The sequence below is a fragment of the Homo sapiens genome, chromosome 15, assembly GCF_000001405.40.
Source record: "Homo sapiens chromosome 15, GRCh38.p14 Primary Assembly".
Taxonomy (NCBI): Eukaryota; Metazoa; Chordata; class Mammalia; order Primates; family Hominidae; genus Homo; species Homo sapiens.
This window is the reverse complement of record NC_000015.10, coordinates 80,113,757-80,129,319: the sequence shown is the minus strand read 5'-3', so window position 1 is coordinate 80,129,319 and position 15,563 is coordinate 80,113,757. Positions and strand designations below refer to the sequence as shown.

The 15,563-nt window shown below is 36.1% G+C and overlaps 1 protein-coding gene across 18 annotated transcripts in view; it reads right to left on the bottom strand.

Moving 5' to 3' along the window:
- ZFAND6 (zinc finger AN1-type containing 6) overlaps window positions 1-15,563 on the bottom strand; it is a 79,443-nt gene that overhangs the window by 9,074 nt on the left and 54,806 nt on the right. For 16 of the 18 annotated variants that reach the window (XM_047432697.1, NM_001242912.2, NM_019006.4 and 13 more), the window contains 3 exons: window positions 8,822-8,992; window positions 7,500-7,608; window positions 6,520-6,620 (listed from right to left, as the gene is read on the bottom strand). In XM_047432697.1, coding sequence (XP_047288653.1) covers window positions 6,520-6,620; window positions 7,500-7,608; window positions 8,822-8,975 — 364 coding nt within the window. In that variant the 5' untranslated portion in view covers window positions 8,976-8,992. Of the gene's footprint in view, window positions 1-6,519; window positions 6,621-7,499; window positions 7,609-8,821; window positions 8,993-14,249; window positions 14,294-15,563 lie in introns of all 18 variants that reach the window. The other 2 variants (NM_001242917.2, NM_001242919.1) reach the window with 2 other exon arrangements.

The following is a 15,563-nucleotide window of genomic DNA, read 5'->3' as shown; positions in this document are numbered from 1 at the left end:
TCCACTCAGACATGCTGAAACCAGACAGGGGACAGTTCTATTAATAATACTGTGAACATACTATTTTTGAAACAGAATATAGACACATCAAACCTTTTATTTTCAATGAATAAATATCCCTAGAATGTAAGCTCCAAGAGGGCAGGGGCTGAATGTCTTGTTTACTGTTTATCTCCAGCTCCTAGAACAGTATCAGATAAGCCTATCTGGCTATGCATATGGACTCAAAAACAGCTTACCTTGCAATCAGAAATGAACCTACAGTATTTATTGGTTTTGAAACCTGTAAGCCATATCTAACCTGTTCTCCAGAAAAATTCAAAAAAACCCATTTAATGGCAGTAACATTATCACAAGATTATAGTTTTTAACAAAACTGGTCTAACTACTGAGACACAAATTTGAATGGGATCTGGAAATGGAGAAGAGTGAAAATACATCTATCTTCTATGCATACAAATACTACTGCATATCTCAAAAGACATTTCACAGTATTAACCCTAAAGCCCCAAAGAAGGCCAATGGTTTCTTTTTAACTGAGGCAAATGCAGTCTTTAAAGTGAAGGATCAGAAGGCTATCTAAAAGCTTATATGCTATAACTCAAATGTGGGACCAATAAATGTCGATTATATACCCATGAGGCTAAGGTAACCTCAGCTTACTTGAAACTAATAGCTGACAACCTGAATTTCAACAGTCACCAAATGAATTCACGGACAAGATGATATAGTACTATTTTTAAAAGTCTATGATTCCCAGAAATCATCCTGTTTCCTCAGTTTTTATGTGAGTTTTAAGACCAAGGAATACCTTATCAACTTCCAAACAACCTTTCTAGCTTTAGTTTCAACATATAACTGCCTGAACTGATCACTTCAGCAAACAGTCTTTTCACTCTTTCTCAAATTTCATTTTTCCTACCTGTATGCGTTTGCACTCACAAGTCATCCTCCAGCAAAAGCCCTCTTCACTGTCTTGGGGTGGTGGGGAGATTTCACATACCATAAAATTCACTCTTTAAAGTATACAATTCAGTGGTTTTTATTATATTCACAAGGTTATAAAACTATTACCACTATCTACTTTCAGAACATTTAAGTCACATTAAGGGAAAACTCTGTACTCATTAGCAATTACTCCCCACTTCCCACGGTTTCTGGCAACCACTAATCTTTCTGTATGACTAGCCTGTTTTAGACATTCTATATAAATAAAATCATACAACATGTAGCCTTTTGTACCTAACTTCTTTTATTCAGCATATTTTCAAGGATCACTCATACTGTGGCATGTATCAGAATTTCCTTCCTCTTTGTGACTGAATATTCTACTGTACGGATATACCACATTTTTTTTTATCCAATGATCTATTTACAGCCATCTCAGTAGTTTCTATTTTTTATTATAGATAATACTGCTACGAACACTTGTGTACACGTTTTTGTGTGGACGTATGTTTTCAATTCTCCTGGCAATCAGGAGAAAAATGCTGGGTCATATGACAATTCTTTTTAATTTTTTGTGGAGCTAGGAGATTGTTTTCCAGAGTATCTGGCACCATATTACACTCCCACCAAGGCAGGAGGGCTCCAATTTTTCTACATCCTTGACAATACTTTGTTATTGATTAGAGCCATCCTAGTGGATACGAAGTGGTGTCCCATGACTTCCATTTCCCTCATATCTAATGAAGTTGAGCATGGTTTTTTTTTTTTTTTTTTTTTTTTTTGAGATGGAGTTTTGCCCTTTTGCCCAGGCTGGAGTGCAGTGGCACAATCTCAGCTCACTGCAACCTCCACCTCCCAAGTTCAAGCAATTCTCCTCTGCCTCAGCCTCACGAGTATCTGAGACTACAGGCGCATGACATCACAGCCAGCTAAGTTTCATATTTTTAGTAGAGATGGGGTTTCACCATGTTGGCCAAGCTGGTCTCCAACTCCTGACTTAAGGTGATCCGCCCGCCTCAGCCTCCCAAAGTGCTGGGATTACAGATGTGAACCACCGCACCCGGCCCTGTTGAGCATCTTTTCATGTGTTTATTGGAAACTTGTATATCTTTTCTGGAGAAATGTCCACTCAAATCCTTTGCTTATTTTTAAAATGGGTTTTCTATTGTTGAATTGTAATTATTTATATATCCTTATCACATATATGATTTCAAAGTATTTTTTCTCTCATTCTGTAGGCTGGTTTTCCACTCTTTTATTTTTTGAGAGAGGGTCTCATTCTGTGACCCAGGCTGAAGTGCAGTGGTGCGTTAATGGCTCACTGCAGCCTCAACATCCCAAGTTCAAGTGATCCTCCCACCTCAGCCTCCCTACCCAGTAGCTGGGACTACAAGCGTGCGCCACCACACTCGGCTATTTTTTGTACAGATGGGGTTTTGCCATGTTGCCCAGGCTGGTTTCAAACTCTTGAGCTCAAGTGATCTGCCCACCTTGGCCTCCCAAAGTGCTGGGATTACAGGCATAAGTCACTGCACCTGGCTGTTTTTCCACTCTTTTAAGCAAAAATCTTTATTTTGATGTAGCTCAATTTATCTATAATTTCTTTGGCTGCTTGTGGTTAAGGTGTCATATCTAAGAAACCACTGCCTAAACCAAGATCACAAAAATGTATACCTGCTTTAAGAGTTTTATAGTTCTCTTATATTCGTTTTAGGTCTTTGATGTATTTCGGGTGAATTTTTGCATATGGTATGACATAGGAGTCCAATTCATTCTTTCGAATGTGGATATGAAGTTGTTCCTGCATCATTTGTTTAAAAGATTACTCTTTTCCCATCAAATGATTTTGGCACCATTGTTGAAAGTCAATGGCCCATAAATATAATAAGAGTTTATTTCTGGACTCTCAATTTTTTATTCCACTTACCTTCATGACTATCCTCATGCCGGTACAACACAGTCTTGATTACTGTAGCTTGTACTCAATTTTGAAGCCAGGAATTGTTAGTCCTCCAACTTTGTTATTTTTCAAGATACCTTTGGCTATTCTCACTCATTCTTTAGAATCAGAAGAAATGCCTGATTTTTAAAACCCATACAGCTTTCCTAAATCAGTCCAAAGAGACTGTCCCCCTCTGATTTTTCTGAACCAATGATTTGACAATTCAACTTTGTATAAAGTCAGAAACCCTCAGAGTAGGAAAGAGCCTGAGAATTCTAGTTCATCCTGTCACTAAGCACAGCATTCCTCTCTCTATATGGTCTCTAACATCAACTCATCTTTCCTAGAATGCTTCAGTGATGTAGACCTTACCATCTTAACATATGACATCATTCGAGTGTTGGAAAGCTTCAAAATTCTCTCTTACTCTAGGCCTCCTACAACTCCCAAATCACTTGGGCAATATAAAGAATATCTTCTGCAGCTTACAAAGCTCATCCAACCTCCATTATCTCAGTATCTTTTAATACCCTGTAAGAGGGACATTCTTATTCTCTTTTAAGAGTAATGAAAGTAAGGCTCAGTGAAGTTAAGCAGGCATACCAAGATAGGAAAATAGAACTTATGAATCCAAATTCAGTATTTTTCTACTATGACCCAAGATCTGAGGGACTAAGAGGTTGACCAAATTTAAGCATATTCTTCAACAGTTTTAGAGTGTACCAAAATGCTTAAAGTAGTTCTTTTAAAAGCTAGCATTTGTGAACTGGAAATTTGACTTATACTCCTGAGTGACACTATGTAAGTAAGGTACTGCTATATTTTTAAATCAAAAAGAACAACTAAGAAACATGCTTCAATATGCTAAATTCTCAATGAAACATAAAAATTCTTCAGAGCCATGTGGCCAATATGAAAGCAGTACCACCAACCTGGTGGCAGCATATCCTAATTATAAGCAGAATACATGTAGAGAAAAAGTTGTTCTGAATGTTCCAATTACAAAATGTTACAAACTTCTGGCTTAGACATATAGCTGCTACTCATATACCTTCTTCCATTTGGGATGGTTTTCCTATCTATATAAATTTCCCTTGAGGGAAGCATATGGAGTGAGGAAGAAGAAAACTGATACCTGGGTAGTTTGCTAAACGAGTTGATCCTACCCTGAGAACTGAGGGAGATGTATGTGTTAACAGGAATACACATATCCACATCCTAGTCCAACAAGCTCCACAACTGTCTAATCATAAGAATACTGGCCTCTATGAGTTAGGTCCCTGGATTCCAGTTCCAGCTTTTATGACCATATGACTGACTCAAAGAGACTTTTTCTGTCTCTTTTCATCCATCTATTAAATAAATGGAAAAAAAGTTATTTGAATTTGATCAATAGGGAAATCGTAATTGCATGTAAGTGTATGAGTGTGTGCACATACAGAATATACACGTACATATATACAAACATACATGTTTATATTTGTGTATGTTTATAATAAAAAGGGTATTCTTAATTCAATAATATGTTAAATTTTTTTTAAAAACTAGGTTGTTAAGAGATTTTACATACTGGAACCTAACCCTCCTCTCTTAAAACTGAGATGAAACTTATACCTAATTTATCAAAGATTTGCTGCTGATATTACGAATGCTAAGTTTTTTAAAGGTACTTACAAGTTAATACTGGTTTAACCTAAAAGTCATTCAAATCATGTATGAAAAATGGGGCCTATACAATTTCTCCTAATATGGCATCAGGACCACCTTTTGAAGTGATATACTCAGGGCTAAGTGGAGAAAACGGTATTGTTTTCCATACACCACAAATGGAAATAAAAACACTTTTATAAATAAATGGTATAAAAACACTTCCTATGTGTTATGATAGTTCACCAATCTATGACCTTTATTCTTTGTCAAACTTCTGTAAATACTATTGTATTCTTAAGCTTTATACATTTTTTTCACTGCCAACATTCTAAATTTTTTTTTTTTTTGAGACGGAGTCTCGCTCTGTTGCCCAGGCTGGAGTGCAGTGGCGCCATCTCGGCTCACCGCAAGCTCCGCCTCCCAGGTTCATGCCATTCTCCTGCCTCAGCCTCCCCAGTAGCTAGGACTACAGATGCCCGCCACCACGCCCAGCTAATTTTTTGTATTTTTAGTAGAGACAGGGTTTCACCGTGTTAGCCAGGATGGTCTCGATCTCCTGACCTCGTGATCCACCCGCTTCAGCCTCCCAAAGTGCTGGGATTACAGGCGTGAGCCACCGCGCCCAGTCTTTTCCTTATTTCTTTAAAGATTCCTCATTTCTGCCCTTCCTTAAATTTTTTGATGTAACTAAGAAATAAGAATTATTCACTTAAAACATTTAAGAATTTATCACAATATGCTAGATGGGACTAGAATATTTACGTTGACCACACAGAATATTCTTTTGTTACGGCAAAATCTACACAAACAAGCAAACTGGTTCAAGTATTTGCTGGGTATGAAAAAAAAGCAAGAGGAACTACCTAGCTTATTTAAATTTGTTTATTTAATTCTTGAGACCGGGTGTGGGGGAATTGCTCTGGTGCCCACCCAGGCTGGAGTGCAGTGGCACGATCATAGCTCACCGCAGCCTGAATTCCTGGGCTCAAGCAATCCTCCCACGTCAGCTTCCTGAGTAGTTGTGACTACAGGTATGTGCCGCCTCACCTGGCTAATTTTTTGTTGTCCAGGCTAGTCTCAAACTCCCAGACTCAAGCGATCCTCCTGCCTTAGCCTCTCAAGTAGGTAGGGATTATAGGCACAAGCCACAGTGCCTGGCCTAAATTAAAAATTTAGCCATCTTAAACTAGGATTGGCAGATGTATCTGTTACCATCATGTGAACACCATGTGCAATGAAGTTTCACTGGTAAATCATCTCACAGGCAGAATGACACACTGCTCTTCATTAGGCTTATCTTTCCAGAGATCCTTCCTTGTTACCATGTTATTTCCACACACTGCTAGAATACAACTAATTAAGCAGAGATTATTTAATAGCCTCCAAAATGGCCTACTCCGCATTCTCTCTCCCTACTACGAAAGCCTTCATACAAATTTTCAAGTCTTCCTAGATCACTTTGAGCTTCATAATGGGGATATGAAGAGCATGGGCAAGACACGATAGATACCATGCTGTGAATACGAGCAACTGAATGTGACTATTGCACACATGGGGAAGAAAAAAGGAGAACTGCCAGGCACGATGGACACAGTCTCTCAGATAATGAGTCAAAACACAAAAGAAAGAGATGCCCCTCAAACCAGCAGCCCCAGTTTTCTTACAGAGTAGTATATAGACTGAAACGGCCAAAATAGTAAAAGAGAACAGTGTAACACTGCCACACATTCATTTAATTATATTTTCCAAACTAAACAAATTTTGAATTTGCAACATTTATGCTGATGATAAAATTACATGTAAGTGTGAAATGGCTCCCCAACATGTTAATTAAATACTTAAAGATATAAAGTATTGTGTTCATAGGGAAAACAGAAAAACATGTATTTTAAGCTGGCAATTTTTTTATACATGCACCTAGGATAGTGTCTGGCCTATAATACTCAAATAACAAAATACATGCTAGTTCATATACAAACCCTGCACATCTTCTGTTTCAGGTACTGCTTTGTCCACAGATGTACTGTCCAATTGAGAAGATGCTACAGATTCTGATAAAAGTGACTGATTTGATACAGGGCTAGAAAAGCAAAATATTTCATTTTAAAAGGTGATCTCTACACATGAATATTAACTAATGTGACACAGTAAGAGTTCAACATATCTAAGTAGATAATTAAGATGAGAACACAGACATACTTTTTTTTAATAACTTAAACATAATCATAGAGCTTTAAAACTAGAGACTAATTTGGACCAGAATTTTACTGCCTTGGAAACAAAGCAACAGTGTATATGTCCTTTGTGTATTTCAAGTACCACATGAATTCACTAAATGAAAACTAGCATGATAAAGACATGCTTAAAGAACCCTAAGACAAAGCTGTAAATGATATTCTGGCATAGCAAAACTGAACATATCTTATCATGAACTGGAAAAAAGGAACCCCAGTGTAGGAACTTAATATATTGGTTCCTAAAAGCAGAATAAAAATGAAACCAGTATTGCTGTATGCAGGCTTCTAAATGATGTGACTTCAGAGTTAAAAAATATATATATACACATTACAATATAAACAAATATGAGTACTACATCATGATATTAAACAAAGATAATGTGTGACAAGACTGTATTTTTTTAATACACGGTAGTAATACTTGCAGAATAAGACTAACATTTCACTTAACATGCTTCCAAAGGACTTCAGGAGTAGGTCAGGATATATTATGAGAAAGAAAAAGATGCCTGAAAAAGAAATCTAAGACTTAAACGATAACCCCCGATCCCTCAAGGTAAAAGCAAGAAATCGCTTTTTCTAACTAGTTATAATCAGACGATAAAATTTTAGGCCAGTTAATCTAAAAGTAGCTTTACGTAGTTTTCCTTATTAATCAAACACAGAATATACTCTTTAGTTTTTATTAGCATTCTCATTAGAATTCAGAGAGTACATCTTACCTGGGCTGCATAGATGAAGATGTAGAGTCTAATGCTGACTGGGCTTCTGGCACACTGCCATCTGTGCATTGAACTGGTAAAGATTCAGACAGACTACTGACAGAGGTTGCTGTAACAGTACCACATTGCGTATTAGTGATTCTATATGCTCAGCAGTCTAAGACCTTATCTAAAAAAATCAAAATCCATTTTCCACAGAACACAGTATAGAGGTTTTCTTTTAATATGTAGTATGTTGGTTCATTATTTTTAAAAAATTTTTCAACGGTTTGCCAGTGAAAAATATGTTAATTTTAAACCAAGAAGGAAACCATCTGCAAATTGTATACATTAATAAACTCCTATTTCTTAGGACTGAATAGCACCCAAGCCCAAATGCTTTAATTCAAAAACATCTTCCAAGTACTAGAGAACAAATGAGATATTTAAATAAGATGACATAGCAGTGAAGAATATAGGTTCAGAATTAAAATCTATGCTCAGTACATTAGGTTATAAATGTAGATGATGACTTAATTTTAAAACAATTTATACTCATTTGATCTTAGCCTTAAGCAAATTTGGAGTTTTGGTTAAATGGTTGTAGGTTTTGGCTTGAACAAAAACAGACAAGATCTCACACACAATATTAAATGAACTAAGTAATAGCCTACACTTTCATTAACCACAAAAATCTATACATGCAGGCATTAACCTACATGAGATCTATCCTAAATGAATACACTAAACACTTTCCTTTTTGCAAAGCTTATACTTGGAATCCGCATGATCCTTCTTATACAACTACTGAAACAAAAGACCACCTCAATTCCAAGAATATCCTTTGACACAAAAAGGCATAAAAAACCCTAGTGAACTGGGGTTGAACATCCCTTACTATGAGTTAATCCACGATACTCCTCCTTCCTAATGGAGTAAAGCTTCCTCTCAAGTCCACTGAGCTGTGGTTATCAATAATCCACTCCTTCCTTCAACAACTACTTGAGCTGTAAGTCACACCAGATAAAAGAACAAAGGTTCTTTTATCACTCTCTTCCCTTACTTTCCAAGACACTTGAGGTGTCCCCTCTAAATAAAGTAACAGAATTCCACAGCCACAGAAATAAGATTATGGTATGAATTTACAGTATTTTCAATGAGTGATGATACTCATTCCTAACTCCTCACTACTGATTATAATCACAATGTGTAATGAGAAATTTTACTGATATGAATATGGTAATATAAATATAATGTGAGAGCAGAAAAAGGTATTGGGTATACCGAAATATCCACTTGTATTTCAATTATGAATATAGACGGGTTTCACTAGAATTACTTACCAGGTGGGCTTATTCTACCATTACTACTATTCTGTCTTTGAAGATGTTCTTTATAGCATACTGAACACATGCCATTTGTACGAGGGTTTCCATAAAATCCACAGCCAGTGGAACAAAGCATAGGCACTTGGCTGTGATTAGTTTCTTGAGCCATGTTCCTCAGTTGCACACCTGAAAATTACATAAAATTAGCAAAGAACTCAGACACGTAACTTCCAATCACACATTATCCAAAACTGCTTTTATATGATAAAGAAAAAAGCCCACATATATCAAACTATTCTACATAACTGTCCCAAGACATAGGGCTAAAAAGGAGAGAAAAATATAAAAACCAAAAGGACACACATTGAACTTTTTATCTCCAACCCACTCTACATAAGCCAAGTCTGTACAGGCTCAGAAAGTATAAAGAACTCCTAGAGAAAGAAATCTGTTTTGAAGACTCTACCCCCAGAAGGTCAAGGATAACTTATTAAGTCTAGCTCAGTTTGGACCCTCCTAGTAATAAGAGATATACATTATAAGTTTTGATGTATGTTATATTATCTAATATCTAAGCATTTAAACTTTTGCTGGAAGTTCATGTGCTAATGTGTGTTATTTATTCTGTTTCAAAAGCATTTCACATAGTATCATTTCTGGTGAAGATATGGAGAACTGGGCTGAATGCTTGTAAAATGATAATAAATTGGTTCAATCTTTTTGGAAAGCAAGTTAGCAATTCACTTCAAGAACCCTGTAAAAAACAAATATTGCTATCTGAACCAGTCATTCCCCTTTAAGGGTCTTCAACAAAATGACTAGAGTATAATCAGAAAAAGAATAATAAAATATAAGGGATGTGCTTCACAGCGTTATTTATAATTTTTATAAACAGACAATAACATTAGAATGTATGCAGTTTTTTTTTAAAAAAGCATGATATATAAATGACAAAAGTTATGCAGTCATTAAAAATATTTTAGAATATTTTTTGATTGAGGGAAATACCGATAATAAATGAAAAGGCACAATATGAAATGCGTATACTATATTTTGCCAATTAGGAAAAAAGGAGCACCCATTAATCATCAAAAAGGACAGTAATGAGCATATCCCAGGATGGTGAAGCTAGTGTTTTTCCCTGATTTGTACCTTTACTTTTTAAATTTTCTAAAATGAAGATATTACTTGCATAATTGGTGGAAATTTTTATTTTTTTAAGTATTTATAACTAAAAAATACTAAAAACTAACAGGACAGAGGCATTAGTCAGACAGGCAAGTGATGCTGGGACTGAGGGAATTGTTTGGGAACCACATGAAAGCAATAATCAATTACAGCAGATGGAAGAACCCCATGTGCCATTTCTCCCATAAAGCAACTGGTTCTTTGGCATGAATAACATGACAGAAGTACTAACGGGCTCTCTTTCTTATTAAAAAACAACAATCTCCTAAGTGAAGGTTACTCCGAAATGGGTGTATATGTATTACAGATGAGTCTATTTCAAAGATCATGAAGAATGAGACTAACCAAAGAAGGAAAATGTTTTGCCACTGAAATTTCCTTGAACTGGTAAACACCCAAGAAAAGCATTCACAGTTTACTGTCACCAACTAGATTTCTCTTCCTCTACATTATCTGAAGACTGTTGATGGGTAGTGAGGATTTATACGTATTTCAGAACCAAGAGCAATAATGCACTTGACTGAATTATGATGCAGGCTTAGCAGCTGCCTTTAAAAAAAAAAAGTCCTAAAACTGTTGAGGATAGTTAAACCTTTAGCCTATGAACACAATTTGGGATTTTGGCAAGCATCTTTCTTATTCCATGATGACAAGTCATTTCAGAATCCCACCTTTGCCACCTTTCTTTTTATAAATGCTACTTTAGAACCCTCTTTCTTCTACAGCCCTGTAAAATATATACATATGTATATATACATACATACACACACATATCACATTAAAAAATAACAAGCACAGTATAGAAATGCTAATGTCAAATATTTTGGGGTTTTTCCCCTTTTTTGCCTATTTTATGAAGAATACTGGTCTGCAGCTTTCTTTATGTTTATCTGATTTTGGTATCAGAGTAATTGCTCAAGGTCCTGTAGCTAATTAATAAGTGATGGAGGCCGGGCACGGTGGCTCACGAGGTCAGGAGCTAGAGCCATCCTGGCTAACATGGTGAAACCCCATCTCTACTAAAAATACAAAAAAACTAGCCGGGTGTGGCGGCGTGTGCCTGTAGTCCCAGCTACTTGGGAGGCTGAGGCAGGAGGATCGCTTGAACCTGGGAAGGCGGAGGTTGCAGTGAGCCGGGATCGCACCACTACACTCCAGCCTGGGCAACAGAGCAAGACTCTGTCTCAAAAATAAATAAATAAAATAAGTGATGGAGCTGGGATTCTATGTATAATGTGTGTATATATAGTATGTATACATATGTATACATATATGTATATACATACATATACACACACACACACACACAATTCAATACCTGGATTGAATCCCAGCTCCATCACTTATTAAGTCGTCAATGATTCTCAAAGTATGGTTCACATACCCCTATAGAGGTCAAAATTGTTTTCATAATAATACTAGTGAGTTATTTGCCTTTTTCACCATATGGACAAATGCTGCTATAGCAATTGTGGGGGAAAAAAATAGATGAAGCCTTATCAAGGGGCCAAATCAAAGCAGTGGCACCCAACTGTACTAGTAGTCAACTCTTCATCACCATGCTCTCACAGTAAAAATTATTAATTTTACTAAATCTTGACCCTGAATACACATCTTAACATTTTACATGACAAACCGGGAAGCATGCATGAAGCACTCCTGTTGTGTAAAGAAGTATGAAGACTGAAGAAAAAGCACTGTGCAATTGTTTGAGTTGTGAGCTGACTGAACTGCCTTTTTCATGGAACACGTTTCTTATTTGAAAGAATGACTAATAAACTGGTTATTAAGACCTGAGTATTCAGGCTGGGCACGGTGGCTCATGCCTGTAATCCCAGCACTTTGGGAGGCCAAGTCAGGAGGATCACGAGGTCTGGAGATAGAGGCCATCCTGGCTAAGACATTGAAACCCCGTCTCTACTAAAAATACAAAAAATCAGCCAGGCATAGCGGCAGGAGCCTGTAATCCCAGCTCCTCAGGAGGCTGAGGCAGGAGAATGGCATGAAGCCAGGGGGCGGAGCTTGCAGTGAGCCAAGATCGTGCCACTGCACTCCAGCCTGGGCAACAGAGCGAGACTCCGTCTCAAAAAAAAAAAAAGAGTATTCAGTAGATATTTTTGTAAATGAACAAAGTGCACTCATCACTTCAAACATCTAATAGTATCTGTTATCAAAGACAACAGTCAAGTGAAAAAAACCTTGACAAGCATCTCCAATATTCTGAGAGTTTCTGATAAGATTCATGGTGATATTAATTAAATGTGATTAGTTGCTACTATATCAATATTTGAAATATCATCCTAAGACACTGAATCAGTATTTTCTAAGCAACCAATGTTGGTTGCTTAGCAAGAAATAGTAAGAAATTACTCATGAACAGAAGATCCATTCAAAGTGAAAAGCCAATGAATTTTAATGTAACAGGACAAAAAGTTTTATATCAGGGTATCCAATCTTTTGGCTTCCCTGGGCCACAGTGGAAGAATAATTGTCTTAGGCCACATATAAAATACATTAATACTAACGACAGTGGATGAACTAAAATAAATAAATATATAAATAATGCTTTAAGAAAGTTTATGAATTTGTGTTGGGCCACAGATTGAACAAGCTTGTCTTGTATGGTTTCAATTTCACACTGCAACTATCCTTTAAGAAACTATCGTCAAGTTTTAGTGTAATATCAAAGAACCTCTATTATCTGATAATGTTATTAAAATATTCTTTCCAAATACATATGAGCCCAGATTTTCTTTATAACACTATAACAGATTGAATGCCAAAGCAACTACTAGAATGTTGTTATTAAGGCAGACTTTTTAAAAAATCTGCAAAAATGTGTTAACAATGCCACTCTTCTCATTAACAAGTGTGGGGGAGAGGAAAGTGGTTATTTTCCTAAAATATTTTAAAATAAACTAGTACTTAAAACATTTTCTCAGCTTTAATTTTTAATATGATTTCACTAGATATAACTCTCACACACAAAAGCCCTTCGGGATATTTACACCAAAATTTTGAGAATCCACTGCTTATAAAACGTGCACTCTCAGTATAGACAGTTTGCCCCTCAAGGGAGAAAACACTGATTTTTGGAGGAAAGGGTCACAAAAACCCTTACTCTTGTATAAAACACAGATATACATAAAATACATAAACAGACCTGCAATATCTCTCTGGAGTTAAAATCTTCTGGAGGTGGGGGCCACTTAAGAAAAAAAAAAACAAAAAAAAAACCTAAAAAGGCTCCTTAGGGAAAAAATAGAGAAAAAAGACTGAGGAACTCGGGTCTAAACCACCAACTATGCTATACTGCTTATTAACAACATTAAAGTGTAAGAGAGGAATTAAAGGAACTCTCCCAATGATACTGGTAAATATATGGCTAGCAACCAAACAGTAAAAGGATAAATATATTTCCATAAAAACTCAAGTAAAAAGTCATAGATGAAAGTACAATATGACCACTAAGCTTTTCATTACAATTACTTCAAAACATTAAGATTAAAGTTTGAAAACTTGTAACACTACCAATTTTCCCAAGTCAAACTGCCTGCACGGCATCAAATTAACAATGATTTTCATAACTCAAGAGGCACAAAGGGTTTCTCACAGGATTCTTAAAAAAAAAAAAGAATCAGTCTTATTTATTAATCGTTAGGCCATAAAATGTACCTTTACATGAAGAGTCAGAAAGACTGAAAAAGACAAAAAACCATAAAGAGTAATTTAGTTTATCTGAATGTGTAATGGCATAGATGGGGTAGCTATGAAGAAACTGGAAGTCCTGCCTCCCTCCCTTTGCTACTATACCTTTTTGGGGCAATCAGTCTGGCATTCAAATGATCAGGGAGGAAAAGGGATAAGGGGAGAAAAGGCAGAACAATTCCTTAACTGCTGCACTGTGGAATTATAAAACCACAAATCCAGAGACAGAGAGTAAGATCACTCTACCAGATACTTTAAAAATGATTAGCATGGTATAATAAACAAAAGCCTATGAATTGAAGAGAATTCATAAAATGTGACTTTTGACTGTTCATAACATTCGTAGTCAAATCCCCAACCTATTACTCCCTCTAACATCCCAGACAATACTTAACAGTTATTCAGAGTTTACTATGTGCCAGGAACTCTTTTTATTGTTTATTTATATCTCATTTAATCCTCTCAAGAACACTATGATGTTGGTGCTGTTGATATCCCTATTTTAAAAACAAAAAAAAATGATACTCAAAAAGACTTAGTAACTTGCCCAAGTTCCCCTTCTGGTAAGCAGCTAAGTCAGTGTCTTTTGATCTAAAAAACAAAACAAAACAAAACCAACAACAAAAAAGAGAACTGTCAAAGTCCATCATATCCCTGAAAACCTATAATTTTCTGAGCATTCATTAATTCTTATTAGTTTCATTTAAGTATACCTTTTAAATTCCATTTATTTATTCAATGTTAACATATTATGCAGCTTTAATTAGCTAAAACCATGCTCTTGAAAAAATTTGTTTTTCCTTTATGTCTTTTTACCTAGGAAGTTCTTAGCAGGATTAAAAATTCAAGATTAAATGCTTTAAGACTGTAAAGAAAATTCATTACCAATTATTAAAATTCTGACAAAAGAATAGTAATGATGGCAACATAAACTCAATTATAACAGCACACACATGTCATTTAAACCTACTTTCCTGTGCTTCCTTCCCTAAAGGTAAGTCACCATGTTCCAATAATTTTTATTTTGAAATGCTTCACCCTCTTTTATTTTCCATCCCAACTGTGGTTCTCATTGCTTTTCATACCTGGGTTATTTTTAACAGTTTACTGCCCCTCCTCCTAATACATTTATTGAAATTCTCCTAAAACACCCAGTTCTCATCATATTACTTCGGTTTTAGTTTGTATAATAATTGTCCCAGAGAGGAGTACTCAACCTAGCATTCGTCCTTCACATAATTTAACCCGAGCAGCCTAATTTCCCTAGAAACTATGCTGTATGTAAACAGAATGGGCTTGGAGTCAGGTCGGCAGCAGCTGGAATCCCAGCTTTGCCATTTTATTACCTGTAAAAGCTTGGACTTGTTACTAAATTTCCCTGGTTTCAACTAAGAGGGCACTTACATCACTTATCTAACCAGATTAAATAATGCATATGAAAAGCATCCAAATAGTGTGTGGCACATAGCAAAATTTCAATAACTGTTCTTACTCTATTCTTCCTAAAAGCAGAGGGTCTTTTGCTTCCATCTGATTGAAACAAATCATGCTCACTCTTGGAAACAAGCTTCTAGCTCATATTGCGCCTTTTTTAGTATATCCCATCTACCTTTGTACTCTGCTTGTAATAATCCTATCTACTTCAGGAAATCAGCTTAAATTCTATTTCTTCTGGGCCCCTTTCTGACCACCTCAAGCCTCTTCTACTCTATATTCCTAAGGAAGCTGCTTGTACCACTCTTTTGGGGCACTTAATTGTACCATTACTCAAATACTTCACTGGTATACAACTCTGTTCCCAGCTAAACTCTAAGTTTCTTCTCACTGGTATACAACTCTGTTCCCAGCTAAACTCTAAGTT